This window comes from Homo sapiens, chromosome 11 (genome assembly GCF_000001405.40).
Source record: "Homo sapiens chromosome 11, GRCh38.p14 Primary Assembly".
In the NCBI taxonomy this organism is placed as follows: Eukaryota; Metazoa; Chordata; class Mammalia; order Primates; family Hominidae; genus Homo; species Homo sapiens.
The window spans coordinates 67,469,854-67,491,433 of NC_000011.10; the positions used below are offsets into that span (position 1 = coordinate 67,469,854).

The 21,580-nt window shown below is 51.8% G+C and overlaps 1 protein-coding gene and 1 non-coding gene across 4 annotated transcripts, besides 6 other annotated features; both read left to right on the top strand.

Annotated features, from left to right (window-relative positions):
- Positions 7,528–8,078: an enhancer, noted in NCBI's record as "NANOG-H3K27ac hESC enhancer chr11:67244852-67245402 (GRCh37/hg19 assembly coordinates)". NCBI's record gives its function as "activates a minimal SCP1, AML or CMV promoter by ChIP-STARR-seq in primed H9 embryonic stem cells {active_cell/tissue: H9 hESC(primed)}" and the evidence as "EXISTENCE:reporter gene assay evidence [ECO:0000049][PMID:30033119]".
- Positions 13,015–13,074: an enhancer, noted in NCBI's record as "active region_5105". NCBI's record gives its function as "activates an Ori minimal core promoter by ATAC-STARR-seq in GM12878 lymphoblastoid cells {active_cell/tissue: GM12878}" and the evidence as "EXISTENCE:reporter gene assay evidence [ECO:0000049][PMID:35858748]".
- Positions 13,173–21,250, top strand: AIP (AHR interacting HSP90 co-chaperone). Of its 3 annotated transcripts, none has more exons than NM_003977.4 (6): positions 13,173–13,404; positions 17,153–17,332; positions 19,414–19,602; positions 20,185–20,361; positions 20,463–20,604; positions 20,935–21,250. In NM_003977.4, the coding sequence occupies exons 1-6, from the start codon at positions 13,306–13,308 to the stop codon at positions 21,138–21,140; spliced, it is 993 nt and encodes a 330-aa protein (NP_003968.3). In that variant the 5' UTR covers positions 13,173–13,305; the 3' UTR covers positions 21,141–21,250. The 3 variants fall into 3 exon arrangements, with proteins under 3 accessions (NP_003968.3, NP_001289889.1, NP_001289888.1); NM_001302960.2 differs by having other exon boundaries at positions 20,463–20,596; NM_001302959.2 differs by lacking the exon at positions 13,173–13,404 and adding an exon at positions 13,663–13,857.
- Positions 15,222–15,271: an enhancer, noted in NCBI's record as "active region_5106". NCBI's record gives its function as "activates an Ori minimal core promoter by ATAC-STARR-seq in GM12878 lymphoblastoid cells {active_cell/tissue: GM12878}" and the evidence as "EXISTENCE:reporter gene assay evidence [ECO:0000049][PMID:35858748]".
- Positions 15,727–16,700: an enhancer, noted in NCBI's record as "H3K4me1 hESC enhancer chr11:67253051-67254024 (GRCh37/hg19 assembly coordinates)". NCBI's record gives its function as "activates a minimal SCP1, AML or CMV promoter by ChIP-STARR-seq in naive H9 embryonic stem cells {active_cell/tissue: H9 hESC(naive)}" and the evidence as "EXISTENCE:reporter gene assay evidence [ECO:0000049][PMID:30033119]".
- Positions 17,022–17,321: an enhancer, noted in NCBI's record as "active region_5107". NCBI's record gives its function as "activates an Ori minimal core promoter by ATAC-STARR-seq in GM12878 lymphoblastoid cells {active_cell/tissue: GM12878}" and the evidence as "EXISTENCE:reporter gene assay evidence [ECO:0000049][PMID:35858748]".
- Positions 17,492–17,571: an enhancer, noted in NCBI's record as "active region_5108". NCBI's record gives its function as "activates an Ori minimal core promoter by ATAC-STARR-seq in GM12878 lymphoblastoid cells {active_cell/tissue: GM12878}" and the evidence as "EXISTENCE:reporter gene assay evidence [ECO:0000049][PMID:35858748]".
- Positions 20,392–20,462, top strand: MIR6752 (microRNA 6752). Its single transcript, NR_106810.1, has one exon. It is a non-coding gene; the product is annotated as a microRNA 6752 (primary transcript).

Genomic DNA, 21,580 nt, shown 5'->3' on the forward strand with positions numbered 1-21,580 from the left:
CAGGAGTTCAAGACCAGCCTGGCCAAAAGGCGAAACCCCGTCTTTACTAAAAATACAAAAATTAGCCGGGCGTGGTAGTGCATGCCTATAGTCCCAGCTACTTGGGAGGCTGAGGCAGAAGAATTGCTTGAACCCGGGAGGCAGATGTTGCAGTGAGCCGAGATTGAGCCACTGCACTCCAGCCTGGGCGACAGAGCAAGACTCCGTCTCAAAAAACAAAACAAAACAAACAAAAAAACCTTCCCTTGGTTTTCCATTGCACTTAGAATAAAATCTGAACTCTTGGCAGGGCACGGTGGCTCACACTTTGGGAGGCCAAGGAGAGTGGATCACTTGAGGTCAGGAGTTTGAGACCAGCCTGGCCAACATGGTGAAACCCAGTCTCTACTAAAAATACAAAAATTAGCTGGGCACGGTGACCAGTGCCTGTAATCCCAGCTACTTGGGAGGCTGAGGCAGGAGAATCGCTTGTACCCTGGAGGCAGAGGTTGTAGTGAGTGGAGATCACACCACTGCACTCCAGCCTGGGCAACAGAGCAAGACTCCATAAAAAAAAAATGAACCGTGGTGGGGGGCGGTGGGGGTGGAAGAGCAGAAGTACTCTATGAATTAGGTGGACCTGGTTTCAAATCCCCATTCTACCACTTGTAAGTACTTGGGACTTTGGCAAACCCCTCATTCATTTCTGCCACAAGTATTTATTAAGCATCTATTTAGGGCCAAACACTGTTTTGGGCACTATAGATACAGTGGTGAATAAAACAGTGCAAAATGAGACAGTTTCAAGTGCTGTGTGATGCAAAACTGACTTTAGATTTCGTACTCAAAGATGACCTTTCCAAGAGGTGACATTTGAGCAGGAATGCCGATGATGAAGGAGCCAGCTGTGAGAAAAGCAAGGTTCAGTGTTTTCCTGGCACCAGGGAACAGCACGTTCAAAGGCCAGGAGGTGGGAAGGAGCTTGGCCTGTGGAGGAAGAATGTGAGAAAACCAGTGTGGCTGAGCAGCAAGGAAAGGGGCAGGCCGACTTGATGAGCCTGGGAGGAGTAGATGGGCCCCAGAGCCTTGAGAGCTTTATGGACCTTAGTCAAGAGTTCTTTTTTGTTTTTGTTTTTTTCGACACAGGGTCTCGCTCTGTTGCCCAAGCTGGAGTGCGATCTCAGCTCACTGCAACCTCCACCTCCTGGGTTCAAGTGATTCTCCTGCCTCAGCCTCCCGAGGAGGCTGGGATTACAGGCATGAGCCACAGTGCCCTGCCTTATTATTATTATTATTATTATTATTATTTTTGAGACAGAGTCTCGCACCGTCACCCGGGCTGGAGTGCAGTGGCAAGATCTCGGCTTGCTGCAACCTCCGCCCCCTGGGTTCAAGCGATTCTCCTGCCTCAGCCTCCCCTGTAGCTAGGATTACAGGCGTGATCTGCCCACCTCGGCCTCCCAAGGTGCTGGGTATGAGCCACCACACCCGGCCTCATGTTCATTTTATGGCCTCATGTACAGAGCTGAGTCAAGTCTACTTCTGTTTGTTACACATCAACACTATGAATAAGGCCCCTCTCGAGTTATGTTAATTCACTTACCCTCTTTCACTTCCCAGGTTCCTTCCTCTCCCCTGCCTTCCATCAGACCCATGTCAGCATGCTCAGTCGGCGTCCTTAAAGCCTGCCTGGCTCTGTACCATGTATGGCACTGTCTCCTATGTGGATGTGTTTGCAATTTACAAACATGATGTCATGCAGAAAATTCAGTTCTGTTACTTACACGTTTACATTTTTGCTCTCGATGCTGTTTTCCATATGCATTTGTTTATTGTTTCTACAGGCTACATGCATGTTGTACCATGTTGAGTGTCTAGCACCTTTATGATCCACCTCACCTCCACAGTGTTGTACACTCAAACTGGCCTCAACCCCGCCATCACAGGCATCACTGCAGTTAACATCTTCCTGCTGTCCCCTTATGGACTGTGGGAGAATTCCCCTTGGGGTAGGATTTCCAGGTTATAGGGCACACGCACTCATGACTTCACAGGGTACCACAGATGCTCTCCTGAGTGGCTGTGAGAGTTGACACTCCACCTGAGGCTTCTGGTTCTCTCAGGACTTGGTACCATCCAACTTTTTAATGGCTTGCCGATCTGATGAATTTAAAGTGGTACCTCATGTTCCTCTGGGTTCTCTGATGGCTGGAGAGTTTGAGCTGCTCTTTGTGCCCTTGTCAGCCATTGGGTGTCCCTTGTCTGTGAACTGGCTTTTCATATCTTTGGTCTTTCTTTTTGCTATTGGGTTTCTAGCCTTTTTCCACTAATTTGCATATCAACATATCTAATCATTAATTCCTTGCTGGTTTATGACCTTGCACATATTTCCTATCTGTCTGTCTTTGACTCTTTGTCTAACATGCTCTCAAAGAATAATCACTCCTTTTCAGGCTGGGTGCAGTGGCTCATGTCTGTAATCCCAGCACTTTGGGGAAGCTGAGGCAGGAGGATCACTTGAGGCCAGGAATTCAAGATCAGCCTCAGCGTAGCAAGGCTGATGCAGGGCAGGTGATCCCCAAAATTGGGGCTTAGCCCAAGAGAGTGCTTGGCTTCACCTGGGAAAGAATTCAAGGGTGAGCTGGTGGTGTTAGACAGCAACTTAAACATTTTTTAAAATTTTTTATTTTTTTAAGACTGAGCCTTGCTCTGTCGCCCAGGCTGGAGTGCAGTGGTGTGATCTCGGCTCACTGCAATCTCTGCCTCTTGGGTTCAAGCGATTCTTCTGCCTCAGCCTCCCAAGTGGCTTGGATTACAGGCGTCTGCCACCACGCCCAGCTAATTTTTGTATTTTTAGTAGAGACAGGATTTCGCCATTTTGGCCAGGCTGGTCTCCATCTTCTGACCTCAGTTGATCTGCCCACTTCAGCCTCCCAAAGTGCTGGGATTACAGGCGTGAGCCACCGTGCCTGGCCTTATTTTTTACTTATTGGAAAGCAACTTTTACAGAAGCAGCAGCGCACAGCAGCAGCACAGGCGTCGCTCCTTGTGGAGCAGGGCCATCCCACAGGCAGTGTGCCCCCAGCAGCTGCTCAGAGGCAGTTCTGCAGCCATATTTATGCCCACTTTTAATTACATGCAAATTGAGGGGTGAATTATCCAGAAATTTCTAGGGAAAGAGTGGTAACTTCTGGGCCGTCAGGTCATTGCCACCGAAGGGGGTGGTAACTTCTAGGTGTTGCCATGGCAATGGTAAACTGACATGCACTGGTCTTACGGGTCTTAGGTCTTATGGAGAGGTGCTTTCACCTCTTCCCTGTTTTATTTTTTTGAGACGGAGTCTCCCTCTGTTGTCCAGGCTGGAGTGCAGTGGCACGATCTAGGCTCACTGCAACCTCCACCTCCTGGGTTCAAGCGATTCTCTGCCTCAGCCTCCGGAGTAGCTGGGATTACAGGCATCCGCCACTACACCCAGCTAAGTTTTGTATTTTTAGTAGAGATGGTGTTTTACCATGTTGGCCAAACTGGTCTCAAATTCCTGGCCTCAAGTGATCCACCTGCCTCACCCTCCCAAAGTGCTGGGATTACAGGCATGAGCCACCATGCGCAGCATTCCCTGTTTTAGCTAGTTCTCAATCTGGTCTGGTGTCTGTGTCCCACCTCCAGAGCTGAGTCCTGCCACCTACCTCATTCCTCGCTCAGAGATTAGATACTCCTTCTTAATCTTAAGAGGGCAGCGGAAGGGCAGAGATCCATCTTCTGTAACTGCTTCCTGTTGAGTTTATGGGCATAGCCCCTTCCTAGCACTGGAGAGGTAAAAATCTCCAGATACCCGGTCGGGTGCAGTGGCTCATGCCTGTAATCCCAGAACTGTGGGAGGCTGAGGCGGGTGGATCACAAGGTCAGGAGGTCGAGACCATCCAGGCCAACATGGTGAAACCCTGTCTCTACCATCCTGGCTAACACAGTGAAACCCCATCTCTACTAAAAATACAAAAAATTAGCTGGGCGTGGTGGCAGGCCCCTGTAGTCCCAGCTACTTGGGAGGCTGAGGCAGGAGAACGGCGTGAACCCGGGAGGTGGAGGTTGCAGTGAGCTGAAATCGCGCCACTGCACTCCAGCTTGGGCGACAGAGCGAGACTCCGTCTCAAAAAACAAACGAACAAAAAAAAGAAACCCCGTCTCTACTAAAAATACAAAAATTAGCTGGGCATGGTGGCAGACGCCTGTAATCCCAGCTACTTGGGAGGCTGAGGCAGAGAATCTCTTGAACCCGGGAGGTGGAGGTTGCAACGAGCCAAGATCTCGCCTCTGGACTCCAGCCTGGGTGACAGAGCGAGACTCTGTCTCAAAAAAAAAAAAAAAAAAAAAAAAAAAATCTCCTGATACCCGATCTAAGGGTCCAAAAGACAGGATACTTTCATTACCCAGGTCAGTAGATGAATGGGTCGGAAGCCTTGTGCCAGCATTGTGTTTACCTGAAACTGTTGCAATCTCAAAGACTTACTAAGAGTTTAAACAACCACAGCCAAAAATTAGGAATAACAAGATGGCTATCAAAGGTCCTAGGAGAGGTAAAAAACCAGGTGAGACTCGGGAAGGCATTTTTGATAGTTGACCAGATATTGCTGGGGTTGGTGCTATGGTTCTATCTATGTAGCCAAGTAGCTTGTTCATAGATCTTTCGAATGTTAGCCTCAGTCTGTTTGGAGCTGGTAAGACATGTGCAGCAGGTTTTATTAATAACTGCACAAACTTCACCTTGTTCAGCTAGTAAATAATCTAATGCTAATCTGTTACAGAGAACTATGTTTGCCAAAGAGTCTAGAAATTCTTGAATTCCCTTTAAGGCCTGACCCGTGTTGGTGGCTAAGGATTCTAGGGTTTGAGTCAAGTTCTTTACGGTTGACTCGTGGTAAGCAAGGCCACCCTAGGGTGCCACCAGTCCTATTGTTGCCCTGATTCCCGCCAAAATTAATCCTATTGCTCACTTACTTCTGCTGTTCTTGGGTCTTATGGGGTTATAGACTGTGACCTCTGGAGGGGCAAGGGTAGCTATTGTACATTCGCCTCTGTTCCAAGTTTTTTTTTTTTTTTTTAGACAAAGTCTCAAAAAAATTAGCAGGGCATGGTGGTGGGTGCCTGTGGTTCCTGCTACTCGGGAGGCTGAGGCAGGAGAATCGCTTGAACCAGAAGGCGGAGGTTACAGTGAGCCGAGATTGTGCCACTGCACTCCAGCCTGGATGACAGGGCAAGATTCCCGTTTTTTTTTTTTTTTTTTTGAGATGGAGTCTTGCTCAGCCACACAGGCTGGAGGGCAGTGGGGTGATCTCGGATCACTGCAACCTCTGCCTCTTGAGTCCAAGTGATTCTCCCGTCTCAGCCTCTCGAGTAGCTGGGATTACAGGTGCCCACCACCATGCCCAGCTAATTTATATATATTTATATAATATATAAATATATAATATATATTATATACAATATATATTATATAATATATGATAATATATATAATATACATAATATAATATATTATATATATATTTTTTTGAGATGGAGTCTCTCTCTGTCGCCCAGGCTGGAGTGCAGTGGCGCAATCTCGGCTTACTGCAAGCTCCGCCTCCCGGGTTCATGCCATTCTCCTGCCTCAGCCTCCAGAGTAGCTGCAACTACAGGCGCCCGCCACCACGCCCGGCTAATTTTTTGTATTTTTAGTAGAGACGGGGTTTCACTGTGTTAGCCAGGATGGTCTCGATCTCCTGAGCTCGTGATCCGCCCGCCTCTGCCTCCCAAAGTGCTGGGATTACAGGTGTGAGCCACTGCGCCCGGCCAATTTTTATATTTTTAGTACAGACGGGGTTTCACCATGTTGGCCAGGCTGGTCTTGCACTCCTGACCTCATGTGATCTGCCTGCCCCGGCCTCCCAAAGTACTGGGATTAGGTGTGAGCCACTACCACTGGCCGCTCCAAACAACCAGTTCTTTTTCCCTCTGGACTGTGGTGCCATCTTTATCATACAGCAGTTGTAGAGCTGCCTACACATATGTATGTTCTAAGCTCTCTTTTTGGTTCCTTTTGAGAGGTGACAGCCTGCTGGCAGCCCTCACAGCCCTTGCTCGCTCTCGGCGCCTCCTCGGCCTTGGTGCCCACTCTGGCTGCGCTTGAGGAGCCCTTCAGCCCGCCGCTGCACTGTGGGAGCCCCTTTCTGGGCTGGCCAAGGCCAGAGCTGGCTCCCTCAGCTTGCGGGGAGGTCTGGAGGGAGAAGCGCGGGCGGGAACCGGGGCCGCGCGCGGTGCTTGCGGGCCAGCGCGAGTTCCGGGTGGGCGTGGGCTCGGCAGGCCCCGCACTCCGAGCGGCCGGCCCGCCCGCCGGCCCTGGGCAGTGAGGGGCTTAGCACCTGGGCCAGCAGCTGCTGTGCTCGACTTCTCGCTGGGCCTTAGCTGCCTCCCCGCGGGGCAGGGCTCGGGGACCTGCAGCCCGCCATGCCTGAGCCTCCCCACAGCCCCGCCGTGGGCTCCTGCGCAGCCTGAGCCTCCGCGACGAGCGACGCCCCCTGCTCCAGGGCGCCCAGTCCCATCGACCACCCAAGGGCTGAGGAGTGCGGGCGCACGGTGCGGGACTGGCAGGCAGCTCCACCTGCAGCCACGGTGCGCGATCCACTGGGTGAAGCCAACAGAGCTCCTGAGTCTGGTGGGGACTTGGAGAACCTTTACGTCTAGCTAAGGGATTGTAAATACACCAATGGGCACTCTGTATCTAGCTCAAGGTTTGTAAACACACCAATCAGCACCCTGTGTCTAGCTCAGGGTTTGTGAATGCACCAGTCAACACTCTGTATCCAGCTGCTCTGGTGGGGACTTGGAGAACCTTTGTGTGGATACTCTGTATCTAGCTAATCTAGTGGGGACGTGGAGAACTTTTTTGTCTAGCTCAGGGATTGTAAACGCACCAATCAGCACCCTGTCAAAACGGACCAATCAGCTCTCTGGAAAATGGATCAATTGGCTCTCTGTAAAGTGGCCCAATCAGCAGGATGTGGGTGGGGCTAGATAAGAGAATAAAAGCAGGCTGCCCGAGCTATCGGTGGCAACTGGCTCGGGTTGTTTTGCACACTGTGGAAGCTTTATTCTTTTGCTCTTTGCAATAGCTCTTGCTGCTGCTCATACTTTGGGTCAACACTGCGTTTGTGAGCTGTAACACTGACCGCGAAGGTCTGCAGCTTCACTCCTGAAGCTAGCGAGACCCTGAACCCACCAGAAGGAAGAAACTCCGAAAACATCCGAAAATAAGAAGGAACAAACTCCGGACACGCCTCCTTTAAGAACTGTAATACTCACTGCGAGGGTCTGCAGTTTCATTCTTGAAGTCAGTGAGACCAAGAACCCACCAATTCCGGACACACTTTGACCCACTTCACTAATTCTCACCAGTATCTTATCCTTGTCTGTACGGTTTTCGGTGTGGTTTAATGCAAGAGACCAAGCCCCTTCTCCTTGGTCATCTTGTTCAAACTTGACTTAGCTTTTCATGGACCTTTATTTTTTATAGAAATGTTACAAAAATGTTTTCCGAGTTCTTAAAAAATCCTCCCAATTTCTTTTTTTCTTTTTTTTTTTAATTGATCATTCTTGGTGTTTCTCGCAGAAGGGGATTTGGCAGGGTCATAGGACAGTAGTGGAGGGAAGGTCAGCAGATAAACAAGTGAACAAAGGTCTCTGGTTTTCCTAGGCAGAGGACCCTGCGGACTTCCGCAGTGTTTGTGTCCCTGGGTACTTGAGATTAGGGAGTGGTGATGACTCTTAACGAGCATGCTGCCTTCAAGCATCTGTTTAACAAAGCACATCTTGCACCGCCCTTAATCCATTTAACCCTGAGTGGACACAGCACATGTTTCAGAGAGCACAGGGTTGGGGGTAAGGTCACAGATCAACAGGATCCCAAGGCAGAAGAATTTTTCTTAGTACAGAACAAAATGAAAAGTCTCCCATGTCTACTTGTTTCTACACAGACACAGCTACCATCCGATTTCTCAATCTTTTCCCCACCTTTCCCCCCTTTCTATTCCACAAAACCGCCATTGTCATCATGGCCCGTTCTCAATGAGCCGTTGGGTACACCTCCCAGACGGGGTGGTGGCCGGGCAGAGGGGCTCCTCACTTCCCAGGAGGGGCGGCCGGGCAGAGGTGCCCCTCACCTCCCGGATGGGGTGGCTGGCCGGGCGAAAAAATTCTCCTGATTTCTATTTGGATTTCATTGAATTTCTAGATTAATTTCAGAAGCAATCACATCTTTGTGTTGAGTTGTTCTATTTATTAACAAGATACGTCTCTTCAGTTATTGAGATCTTCTTTTGTGTTATAAAATCTTGTTTTTCAGGCTGGGCACAGTGACTCATGCCTGTAATCCCAGCACTTTGGGAGGCCGAGGCAGGCGGATCACCTGAGGTCAGGAGTTCGAGACCACCCTAGTCAACATGGTGAAACCCTGTCTCTACTAAAAATACAAAAATTAGCTGGGAATGTTGGCAGGCACCTGTAGTCCAAGCTACTTGGGAGGCTGAGGCAGGAGAATTACTTGAACCCTGGAGGCAGAGGTTGCAGTGAGCTGAGATCGCGCCACTGCATTCCAGCCTGGCGACAGAGCAAGCCTCCATCTCAAAAAAAAAAAAAAAAAAAAAAATTTGTTTTTCTTCAAAAAGTTCTGAGTTGTGTTTGTATTTCCTACTTCATGGGTTTTATTGCTGTTGTGAATGATACTTTAGTCTCTCCCTTTTTTTTCTCTTTGAGTTGGAGTCTCCGTCGTCCAGGCTGGAGTGAAGTGGTGTGATTATGGCTCACTGCAGCCTCCGCCTTCCAGGTTCAAGCTATTCTCCTGCCTCAGCCTCCCGAGTAGCTGGGATTACAGGCATGTGCCACCATGCCTGGCTAATTTTTGTATTTTTAGTAGAGATGGGGTTCCACCATGTTGGCCAAGCTGGTCTTGAACTCCTGACCTCAAGTGATCTGCCTGCCTCAGCCTCCCGAAGTGCTGGGATTACAGGTGTCAGCTACCATGCCTGGCCCTTTATATTCTATTATACTTTTCAGTTGCTTATTGCTGGTGTGAAGAGTACTATTAATTTTTGTTAGCTTTTTTTTTTTTGGAGACGGAGTTTCGCTCTTTCTTGCCCAGGCTGGAGTGCAGTGGCACAACCTCGGCTTACTGCAACCTCCGCCTCCTGGGTTCAAGCGATTCTCCTGTCTCAGCCTCCCGAGTAGCTGGGATTACAGGCACCCGCCACCACACCCAGCTAATTTTTGTATTTTTAGTAGACACGGGGGTTCCACGATGTTGGCCAGGCTGGTCTTGAACTCCTGACCTCAGGTGACCCGCCCACCTCAGCCTCTTAAACTGCTGGGATTACAGGTGTGAGCCGCTGCGCCCGGCCGCTTTTTTTTTTTTTTTATTTTATCCCTGTAACATTGCTGAACTCTGGGTTTTTTGTTTCCGTTTTTGAGATAGGGTCTCACTCTGTCGCCCAGGGTGGAGTGCAGTGGTCTGATCATGGCTCACTGCAGCCTCAGCCTCATGGGCTCAAGGGATCCTCCTGCCTCCCAAGTAGTTAGAACCACAAGCGCGTGGTACCATGCCCAACTACATTTTTTGATTTATTTGTAGAGACAGGGTCTTGCTATGTTGCTCAGGCTGCTCTCGAACTCCTGGCCTCGAGTAATCCTCCTGCCTTGACTTCTAAAATTGTTGGGATTATAGGCATGAGCCACCATGCCTGGCCTTCTAATTTGTTAAAGCAGTCTATAGATTATGTTGGATTTTCTATACCGATATAATCTGCCAACAATGACAGTTTACTCTCGTTTCTTTTTCTTGGCTTATTGTTTTGGCCAGGACTTCTTTTTTTAAAAAAAATTAAATTTCTTTTATTTTTTTGGATATAGGGTCTTGCTCTGTTGTGCAGGCTGGAGTGCAGTGGTGAGATCATAGCTCACTGCAGCCTCGATCTCCTGGGCTCAAGGGATCATCCTGCCTCAGCCTCTTTAGTAGCTGGGACTACAGGCATGTGCCACTATGCCCAGCTAATTTTCTTTCTTTTTTTCTTTTTGTAAAGACTGGGTCTTGCTATCTTGCCCAAGTTGTTACTCATGGGCTCAAGCTATCCTCCTGCCTCAGCCTCCCAAAGTGCTGGGATTCTAGGCAGGACTTCTAACACTTACTGATCAGCATCATTCCTAGAGAGCATCATTGCCTTGTTCCTGATCTTGAAGAAATTGTGGATACTTATTCCATCATACTTAATTGTATGCAGCTTTTATCAACCTGAGAAAATTCCTCTTTGTTCCTAACTGTGAGTTTTTATCATAAATAGTCACAGAAGTTCATAAAATGCTTTTTCTGCATATTTTGAGATAACCATATGCATTTTCTCCTTTAGTTAACCGACGTGGTGAATTACAGTAATAGATGTTTATAATGTTGAACCATTCTTACATTCTTGGAATAAACTCTACTTGATCTTCATGCATTTTCTTTGGAAAAAAAATTCTTTTTTTTTTTTTTGAGACAGTCTCGATCTGTCATCAGGCTGGAGTGCAGTGGTGTGATCTCGGCTCACTGTAACCTCCACCTCCTGGGTTCAAGCGATTCTCCTGCCTCAGTCTCCCTGAGTAGCTGGGATTACAGGCGCCTGCCACCACGCCTGGCTAATTTTTATATTTTTAGTAGAGACGGGGTTTCACCATGTTGGTCAGGCTGGTCTTGATCTCTTGACCTCGTGATCTGCCCGCCTCGGCCTCCCAAAGTGCTGGGATTACAGGCGTGAGCCACCGTGCCAGCCCGGAAAAAAAAATTATTCTTTTTTTTTTTTGGAATGAAGTTTCGCTCTTGTTGCCCAGGCTGGAGTGCAATGGTGCAATCTCGGCTCACTGCAACCTCTGCCTCCCGGGTTCAAGCGATTCTCCTGCCTCAGCCTCCTGAGTAGCTGGGATTATAGGTGCCCGCCACCACGCCTGGCCAATTTTTGTATATTTAGTAGAGACGGGGTTTCACCATGTTGACCAGGCTGGTCTTGAACTTCTGACCTGAGGTGATCCACCTGCCTCAGCCTCCCAAAGAGCCGGGATTACAGGCGTGAGCCACCACGCCCGGCAAAAAAATTATTCTTAATTGTGGTAAAATACACATAACATAACATAAAATTTACCATCTCAACCGTTTTGAAGTGTATACTCAGTGGCGTTAAGTATATGCACACTGTTATGCAACCAATTTCCAGAACAGTTTCGTCTTTCAAAACAGAAATTCTACACTCATCAAAGAACAAGTCTCCATTTCCCACCCCCCTGCCCCCAGCCCTTGGCAATCACCATTCTGCTGTCATTTTTTTTTTTTTTTGAGATGGAGTCTTGCTCTGTCGCCCAGGCTGGAGTGCAGTGGCGCGATCTTGGTTCAATGCAACTTCTGCCTCCTGGGTTCAAGCGATTCTCCTGCCTTAGCCTCCCGAGTAGCTGGGATTACAGGCACGTGCCACCATACCCAGCTAATTTTTGTATTTTTCGTAGAGATGGGGTTTCTCCATGTTGGCCAGGCTGGTCTCAAACTCCTGACCTCAGGTGATCTGCCTGCCTTGGCCTCCAAAAGTGCTGGGATTACAGGTGTGAGCCACCGCGCCCGGCCCTGCTTTCTGTCTTTGTGAATCTGACTACTCTAGGTACCTTACATAAGTAGAATAATACAGTATTTTCCTGTATGTGACTGGTACTGTTATTTCACTTAGCATATTGATGCTTTTTTTTTTTTTTTGAGATGGGGTCTCACTCTATCACCCAGGCTGGAGTGCAGTGGTGCGATCTTGGCTCACTACAACCTCCATCTCCTGGGCTCAAGCAATCCTCCAGCCTCAGCCTGCTGAGTAGCTGGGACCACAGGCGTGCACCACCACACCACCTAATTTTTTGTATTTTTGGTGAAGATGGTATTTTGCCATGTTGTCCAGGCTGGTCTTGAACTTGTGAGCTCAAGGAGATCCAGGAGATCCACTTGCCTTGGCCTCCCAAAGTGCTGGTATTAGAGGCATAAGCCACCACACCTGCCCCATACTGATGCATTTTTACATGACATTAGTGAATTCAATTAGCCTAGTATTTTATTTAGAATGTTTCATATCAGCTGGGCGCTGTGGCTCACGCCTGTAATCCCAGCACTTTGGGAGGCCGAGGTGGGCGGATCACGAGGTCCGGAGATTGAGACCATCCTGGCTAACACGGTGAAACCCTGTCTCTACTAAAAATACAAAAAATTAGCCGGGCATGGTGGCGGGCGCCTGTAGTCCCAGCTGCTCGGGAGGCTGAGGCAGGAGAATGGCGTGAACCCGGGAGGCAGAGCTTGCAGTGAGCTGAAATTGTGCCACTGCACTCCAGCGTGGGTGACAGAGCGAGACTCCGTCTCAAAAAAAGAAAAACAAAAGTTGTTTTAGCCCCAAAGTACCTCATTTCTCTTTTCTTTTAATTTAATTTTTTTTTTTTGTTTTGTTTTGAGACAGCATCTCGCTCTGTCGGCTAGCCTGGAGTGCAGTGGCACGAACACGGCCCACTGCAGCCTCGAACTCCTGGGCTCAAGCGATCCTCTCGCCTCGGCCTCCCAAAGTGGTGGGGTTACAGGGCCACCGCGCCCGGCGCTAAAGTACCTCATTTCTATCATTCATCGATTATTCCCTAATATTAATTGGGCACAACTATGACTCATTTCCGACCCCGCAATGGGCTCTCTTGGTCTCCTTCTCCACCTTTCTTTCCCTCTTCCTCTTTTTATTTTTTGAAAGAGGAAGATCCAGGATGCAAGAGTCCCGACAATCATACTAGATATGCGAAAGAGAAAAAGCCGGAAGAAAATACACAAAAATCATAACACTTTGAGGGTGTGGCTTACGGGTGTTTTTTTTTTTTTTCATTTTCCTAACTCTGCAGTGCTGTTATATTCCATCCACAACTTCAAACAAAGTGCCACACGGCCGCAGTCCCAATCAATTCAATGACAATTGTTAGGGACGTCCTCGTCCCGCCCGGCCCGCGGACCCCGGCCCTTCCTCCTTGACAGGCTGGGGTCCAGCCCCGAGACATTCCTAGGCTCCGCCCCCGAGCAGACGCGCGCGCTCAGCCCCAGCGCAGAGAACCAATCACCATCCGTTTCCACGCTCAGTCCCTTTTGGCTTCTGCCCTCAACCAAAATGGCGCTAGCTCGGAAGCTGCCGAGGTGCTAGGAGTTGCCGAAGCAAGTCCGGAAGCTACCGAGCGAGTCCGGAAGTTGCCGAAAGGGAGCAGCGGGGAAGGAGGATGGCGGATATCATCGCAAGACTCCGGGAGGACGGGATCCAAAAACGTGTGATACAGGAAGGCCGAGGAGAGCTCCCGGACTTTCAAGATGGGACCAAGGTTCGTGTCTACCCTACCCTTCTCCCCCTCTGCGGCGTGGTGCGCATGCGAGGCGGGAGGAGGCCTTAGGCGAGAGGTTGCGCATGCCCAGAGGGCAGCGTCCACTGCCCCTACCGCTCACATGCAGAACTCGACGCTGATTGGGCTGAATTTAAGTAGGGGGTGAATTCGGGCCTGTCTGCCCCGCCCCCTGGCTCGGCCTTGTAGCAGCATTGGTGGGGGAGGCCGTCAGTCATCACAAGCGGGTTGGGGTTGGGGGTTGATCTCAGTGCTTGGGCAGACCCCACGCTGGAGGAAACCCAGGGCCGGGAGTGGTCCTCGGGTATCTGGGTTTCAAGGCTCATGATCCTTTGTAGATGGAAGGGCCTTCTGAAAACACTTAGACCAACTGCCGCTGTTTAGAGTGGAAAACCAAGACCCTGGGACGTGCAAAGCCGGAGAACGGGCCCAGAGGTCAGGTCTCCCAGACAGGGACTCTTTAGCAGCCTTCCTGCTGCACTAGGGGCTTGTTGGGACAGATGAGGGTTGGGAAGTAAAGAACCTCCCACTTTTCTCCTTTTTGCCAGGCCCCCAGATCCAGCCCCTCTGCCCGCTTCTCCCCCAACCTACAACTCCAGGCTTCCCTGCTTCTCCTGTAGTTGCCTCCTCCCGGAGTGCTTTTCCCAGCTGCCACTTGTTTGCAGAGTAGGGAACCTCCCAGGGGCAGCCCCTGTGCCCAGCAGAGCAGTCAGGCAGGACATGCACATTGAGCAAATGAGCACATGCCCCCTGGCCAGCACCGTGCCGAATCGGGCAGCTAAGCATCCTAGCCCAGTGCAGTATAAGTGCCCTGAGAGCAGAGGGGAGCTGCATGGCTGGAGTGATCCGCTGTATGAAAAGATATCTTCTCTAAGAAGAGACAGGATGTGTGGTGTGGGTTCATGCCCCCATGTGCTGGGGGGTTGGTGGCGTTGGAAGAAGGGGCTGGCAAGGGGGATCCTGGATGGAACAGACATCAGAAGGAGAGATGTGAACAATGGCACCCCAAGATCAGAAACAGGTGGTGTTAAATAACCAATCGCCAGCACTGATTGAGTGCTCACTATTCGAACATTGTGCTACATGCTTCACACGTTTATTTCCTACAATGTGAGATAGGTACTGTTGTTGATTCCGTTTTACCGATGTGGAAACTGACTTCAGAGATGCAGCATGGTGCGGCAGTTAAGAGCGTGGGCTCCTCTAACCATATCCTGTCGAGAGTTCAATCTCCAAACCTCTTTTCTCTGCACCCACCCCCAGTGTTATCTCTAAAAACTCTCCCTGCCCGGATTACTCCCAGATGCAGCTCTCCAGTCATTAACTGTCTCTTAAACCTGATATATAGCTCCCTACTCACCATATCCACCTGGAAGCCTGGTTGGCAACTCACACTTAACCTGCTCCACCTGAGGCTTCTCCGTGTCAGGGGAACCAACAACCTTCCCGTTGTTCAGGGCAAAAACCTTAGCATCTCTGTGGTCCTCCCAGTCTCACATCCAACATCACATCCTCAATATCCAGCCAGGATCTGAGTTCTCACCACTTCTGCCATCACTGCTTGGGTCCAGGCCATCCTCATCTCCAGCCTGGGTTACTGCAGCGACCTCTAACTCTCCTGCCTCTTTTGTCCCTCTGTGGTCTGTTCTCGTCCCAGCAGCCGAGCCCATGCCAGATTCAATTCCTTTTTTGCTCGGAGCCACTCAGTGGCTTCCATCACAGAGTGAAAAACAGAGGCCTCACCATAGCCTACAGGCCCTGTGAGGTCCACCCCTACTGACCTGGGTGAGCTCCCCTGCTGACCCTGTGGTGTACCCCACCCCCTCCTTCACTCTGCTCTGCCACACTGGCATTGCTGCTCTTGAACACATCATGCATTTGAAACGGGAAGTTCCCTTGTCTCCCTCGCAGGGCGTGCGATGGGGGAGTGGCTCGCTTCTTCAGTGCCCCGCTGCTCAGACCTCTGGGGGAGCATACAGATGGGCAGGCTGTGGGCTCCGACCTCATGGCAGTGTCTAGGGGTGAATATTTACAGCTCCGTGTGTTCTAGGGTGCTCTTTTAGTTTGTCTATGGGAGGCTTGTGTTAACCAGCTCAATTAGACCCCCTTCCTTATCACAAGGACAGAGGGCTTTCTGTAGTCTGGGGTTTTCTTGCCTTGATGTACTGGAGTACTGGAGAATTAGATCACTTGTGGGCTTGGAGAATGATTGCAAATTTTTTTTTATTTTTTATTTTATTTTTTTTTTCTGAGATGGAGTTTCACTCTTGTTGCCCAGGCTGGAGTGCAATGGCACAATCTCTGCCTCCCAGGTTCAAGCAATTCTCCTGCCTCAGCCTCCCAAGTAGCTGAGATTACATGTGCCTGACACCAGGCCCGGCTAATTTTTAAAAATGTTTTTAGTAGAGATGGGCTTTTACCATGTTGGCCAAGCTGGTTTCAAACGCCTTTTTTTTTTTTTTTTTTTTTGAGACGGAGTCTTGCTCTATTGCCCAAGCTGGAGTGCAGTGGCATGATCTCGGTTCACTGCAACCTCCACCTTCTGGGTTCAAGTGATTCTCCTGCCTCAGCCTCCCAAGTAGCTGGGATTACAGGCACCCGCCATCATGGCCAGCTAATTTTTGTATTTTTAGTAGAGACGGGGTTTTGCCACATTGGCCAGGCTGGTCTTGAACTCCTGACCTCAGGTGATCCACCCGCCTTGGAGATGGTCTTCCCCTGGGGTTGGGCCACTTGGTGGCCCCACCTCTCCTCTGACTGCCCCAGCCAAACTCCGCCTCTTCCTGCCAGTTGATGACCTGCCAGCGTGCAGGTGCCTGTCAGTGTGATCTTCTGCTTCTTGCTCCCCTGACATCCTCTCAATGACCAGGAGCTCGTCTTCTGCTGATGGGCTCCTCTGACATCTGGCTGCCTGTGGGTCTACCCCCTAGGGGTGTTGGGTTTTTATAGGCACAGGATAGGGGTGTGGCAGGCCAGGGTGGTCTTGGGAAATGCAACATTTGGGCAGGAAATGCCTGTTCTCACCTAGGTCTGTGGGGGTGGAACCCTACCCAGGGACCACGCCCTCCTCTACCCAGCACTTCCCTTCTCCCCTTCCAAATTATTTAACAGGACCATGCTCCTCCCTTCCCAGCACTTCCATATCACATTGTCCCACTGCAAGGCTTTTTTACACATGCTGTTCTTTTGGCCTAGAAAGTTCCTATCCCAGGGTCCACTTGGCTTGCTTTCTTCCTTACTCCCCAACCCCCCACTCTGTTTAATCCAGCCCCAACCCTCTTGCCCTGCTGTTTCCCAAGCACGTGGCTTCACCTGCCATGACATATTGTTTTGTTTGATGCCCATCTCCTCCCTCTAGAAGCGCCATGTGAGCTCCAGGGGGGCAGGGACTTTTTTGTGTTTTGCTTGCTGCCATGTTCTGGTGTCTAGCACAGAGCTTGGGCACATAGTAGGTGCTTAGTAAATATCTGTTGAGGAATGACTGGAGTCAGACTGCTTGGACTCTTGTTCCCACTCAGCCACCCACTAGCCGTGTGGCTTGGGCCTATTCCTCCCCTCCTTGTGGCTTTGTTTTCTCACCAGCGTGGGAGGATGAAGCCAGGTGTAAGGTCAGGTGGTGTCCCCGGGGAAGCCCCGTCCCTTATGCCGTCTGCAGGCCGGGGACTGGACTTCTCCTTGGGGGTCAGGGTGAGGGTTTGTGCCTTTGCCTGACCTCGCATGTGGCCCACAGGCCACGTTCCACTACCGGACGCTGCACAGTGACGACGAGGGCACCGTGCTGGACGACAGCCGGGCTCGTGGCAAGCCCATGGAGCTCATCATTGGCAAGAAGTTCAAGCTGCCTGTGTGGGAGACCATCGTGTGCACCATGCGAGAAGGGGAGATTGCCCAGTTCCTCTGTGACATCAAGGTGTCTGTCCTGTACCTGTCTGCGGTGGCTGTCCAGCCAAGCCCTATTCCTATTCCCTATCCCCAGGGCTCCTCCTCCCTCCACCCTCTGCTAGACTGCCACCCGCTTTCTTTTTTTTTTTGAGATGGAGTCTTGCTCTGTCGCCCAGGCTGGAGTGCAGTGGTACGATCTCAGCTCACTGCACCCTCCACCTCCTGGGTTCAAGCGATTCTTCTGCCTCAGCCTCCCGAGTAGCTGGGATTACAAACACCCGCCATGATGCCTGGCTAATTTTTGTATTTTTAGTAGAGACAGGGTTTCACCATGTTGGCCAGGCTGGTCTTGAACACCTGACCTCAGGTGATCCACCCGCCTTGGCCTCCCAAAGTGCTGGGATTATAGGCGTGTGCCACCGCGCCCGGCCCACCCACTCTTTCCAGACCACCACACCAGCCTGCTGATGGCGTCCTGGCCTCCATTCCGCCTTCCCCTATTAGCCAGACTGAGGCCAGGGGACTCGTTCTCAAATGCAAATGACCTGTACATCCCTTTGTTTCAAACCTCTATGACTCCTGGTCACTGTAAGGATAGAGCACAGGGGGTCCTCACTTCATGTTGCTGATACATTCTTGGAAACTGTGACTAAGAGAAAAAACATACATCAGGTTTTTTCTCAGCCACCGTCATTTCTCTCAGCAAAATTTTGTTAGAACATTGATGAGAAGAAAAATTGGTTTCGTTATGTATTGTTTCGCCTACAGTCACAGTTTCCAAGAACCTACTTAGGACGTTAAGTGAGGACTTAAACCGTATAAGCTATAGCTGCTCACATAGCTTTTTGGGGGCTGGCCCCTGCCGTCTCACCCTCTTACTCAACCTCCCTGCTTTTCCTTTCCATTCCCCTTCTTAGCCAAGATCTTCCCTCTTCCTTCAAAGCTTATTCCTGGGTCACCACCTCTAGGAAGCCCTCCCTGACTGCTAGTGGTTGGCTCAACTCCCATGTTTGGGTCCTCCAACCCTCATGCCCTGCATGGCCAGGATCTGCTCTTCTGCCTTGTCCTAGGCTATTGCAGAGCAGGGATCTGGCCTGTTTACTTCTAGCTTTGGGATGCCCAGCGCGAGCCAGTCCAGAGCCAAGACTCAGGAAATGCCCGCTGATGGCAGCCCGGCAGTCAGCCCCTGTCCAGACAACAGGGCAGTGGGAGGAGTGGGGAGGACCCGGGTAGGAGGAATCTGGTTATCTGGTTCCCACCAGCCTAGCAGCTTTGCCAAGCAAGAGATTAGAGGCTAGGTCCCCTATGCCTGTCTCCCTGTGGGGTTTTTTTTTTTTTGACTAAGTCTCACTCTGTTGCCCAGGCTGGAGTGCAGTGGCGTGATCTTGGCTCACTGCAACCACCATCTCCTGGGTTCAGCTGATTCTCTGCCTTAGCTGCCTGAGTAGCTGGGATTACAGGCACCTGCCATCGTGCCCGGCTCATTTTTGTATTTTAGCAGAGACGCGGTTTCACCATGTTGGTCAGGCTGGTCTTGAACTCCTGACCTCAGGTGATCCGCCCGCCTTGGCCTCCCGAAGTGCTAGGATTACAGGCGTGAGCCACCACATCCGGCCTCCCTGAGGGTTTTGAAGTGGCTGGCCTGGGCCCAGCTCTGAGGTAGGCCCTCAGTGGGGTGTGGGTGGGGCAGAAGGAGGAGCTGCTGGGAACAGAATGTGGGGGGCCCCAGTTCTTTGCATAGTCCAGCAAAGGGCCTTATCCTCTGGAGGGAGAGGAGGTAAGAATTCTACTGGGCCTGTAAGGACCAGGGAGACAGGGGTTGATGGTAGGCATGTGTCTGTGGTGGGGGTGAGGAGGGGGTTAGGTGCTCTGTTTGGTGGCCAGAGAATGTGGCAGAAGCTGGGGCTTCACCAGGAGAGAGGGCTGAGCGACTGGAGGAGTCCTGAATTAAAAGCCTCCTGTGCTTAAACGGAGTAGGGTCCCAGTTGTCACTCTCTGGGCCTTGGTGTTTGTTCTCAGATGGTGGTGGGGAAGGGGGCTGGGCCTTGTGGACCCGGTGACCAGCCAGCCCACGGTGACAGAGCCCCCGGCGCCCTTGCCTTCCCGCAGCATGTGGTCCTGTACCCGCTGGTGGCCAAGAGTCTCCGCAACATCGCGGTGGGCAAGGACCCCCTGGAGGGCCAGCGGCACTGCTGCGGTGTTGCACAGATGCGTGAACACAGCTCCCTGGGCCATGCTGACCTGGACGCCCTGCAGCAGAACCCCCAGCCCCTCATCTTCCACATGGAGATGCTGAAGGTGAGGGGCCACCGCGCCTGGTCTCACCAGGCCCCCACTGCCCAGCCTCAGGGCGGCGCTGGCCTGTCCACCCAGGGGTGGTGGGATCCGCAGGTGGACTGCTGGGGGAGCGGACAGAGACAAGAAAACCTGTGCAGGACCCTTGGCAGTACCCTGGGTCTCCTTTCCTCCTCCTTCACATCTCAAATGTCACCTCCTCCAGGAAACCGGCCCTGCCCACCCGGTCTCCTCATTCTCTGTCTCGCAGCAGCTCATTTCCTTTATAGCCTCTGCCGCACCTTGAAGTCCCTTGGAATTCATGGATTTCCTTGTCCATTTAGGGAACCTGCCATGCAGCATGATCTCTGCGAGGGCAGGGCTTTTCACCGTCTTGTTCACTGTTCTATTCTTAGCACTTGGCACAGTGCTGGGCACACAGGAGATGTGACATCGATGTTTGATGCTTTTTGAGTGACAAGTAGCTCTGCTGCTGGTGTGTGATGTCTGGGGGCCCAGCCAGCCCAGATGTGGGTCAGGTCTGCTGCTGACGGACGCAGCTGTGGTGTCCCCGAGCCCCGCTGTGATATGCCCCATGCCCTGCAGGTGGAGAGCCCTGGCACGTACCAGCAGGACCCATGGGCCATGACAGACGAAGAGAAGGCAAAGGCAGTGCCACTTATCCACCAGGAGGGCAACCGGTTGTACCGCGAGGGGCATGTGAAGGAGGCTGCTGCCAAGTACTACGATGCCATTGCCTGCCTCAAGAACCTGCAGATGAAGGTACTGCCTGGAGGCTGAGGGGGAGGATGGATGGAGGGGGGTGTGGAGCCAGGGGGCCCAGGTCTACAGCTTCTCCCCGCTCCCTGCCCCCATACTCCCAGGAACAGCCTGGGTCCCCTGAATGGATCCAGCTGGACCAGCAGATCACGCCGCTGCTGCTCAACTACTGCCAGTGCAAGCTGGTGGTCGAGGAGTACTACGAGGTGCTGGACCACTGCTCTTCCATCCTCAACAAGTACGACGGTGAGCACCGGGCCCTGGGCTGCCGGGGGCTGCGAGTGGTCAGAGAGTGGCCTTTCTCCTGTCACTGCTGGGGTCAAGACCTAGCCTTTCACAACCCCCATTCTGAGCTCCCACGGGGGCCTGACTAAATGCCTCTACTCGGCAGGGCTGTGGGCCCCATTGTGCCAATGAAGCATGAATGGTGTATTGGGGGTGGGGTGGCATCCTCAGGTCAGGGAGGGCTCTCTCTCCCCTGTGGGCCCATGGTGCCAGGAGACATGAGGGCAGGCAGCTGGCCAGGATCCCCCCTCATGCCCTTGCATGCCCACTGCCCACTGGCCTCCCCTGCAGACAACGTCAAGGCCTACTTCAAGCGGGGCAAGGCCCACGCGGCCGTGTGGAATGCCCAGGAGGCCCAGGCTGACTTTGCCAAAGTGCTGGAGCTGGACCCAGCCCTGGCGCCTGTGGTGAGCCGAGAGCTGCGGGCCCTGGAGGCACGGATCCGGCAGAAGGACGAAGAGGACAAAGCCCGGTTCCGGGGGATCTTCTCCCATTGACAGGAGCACTTGGCCCTGCCTTACCTGCCAAGCCCACTGCTGCAGCTGCCAGCCCCCCTGCCCGTGCTGCGTCATGCTTCTGTGTATATAAAGGCCTTTATTTATCTCTCTCTGAGTCTGCTGAGCTGCTCCACTGGGAGAGCCGGGTCATCACCTGGCATTCCTGGTACTTGGGTGGCTGTTGGGAGGCAAAGAATCAGGGTTCAAATCCTAGCCCCTCCACCCACCAGCTCTGAGGCTCTGGTGTCCCTGTTAGAGAAATTACGATGAGCTCTTTCACCAAGGAAGTGTCTCTCGCTGGCCAGGGCTGGGGCGCCCCAGGAGCCCACAGTCTTAAGGGGGAGATGAAGTGGGTACAAGCTAGGTAGCTGGGCACCTGAGGGAGGTAGTCTCCTGGTGCTGCCCTCCCACTCCAGCCTCGGATCCCATGGTCTCCTGGC

Bases quoted from the DNA above. Each gene is read 5' to 3' on its own strand.
- AIP (NM_003977.4), top strand. From the start codon at position 13,306: ATGGCGGATATCATCGCAAGACTCCGGGAGGACGGGATCCAAAAACGT. The intron at 13,405-17,152 runs GTTCGTGTCTAC...TGTGGCCCACAG, and splicing joins ACTTTCAAGATGGGACCAAG to GCCACGTTCCACTACCGGAC. The intron at 17,333-19,413 runs GTGTCTGTCCTG...GCCTTCCCGCAG, and splicing joins AGTTCCTCTGTGACATCAAG to CATGTGGTCCTGTACCCGCT.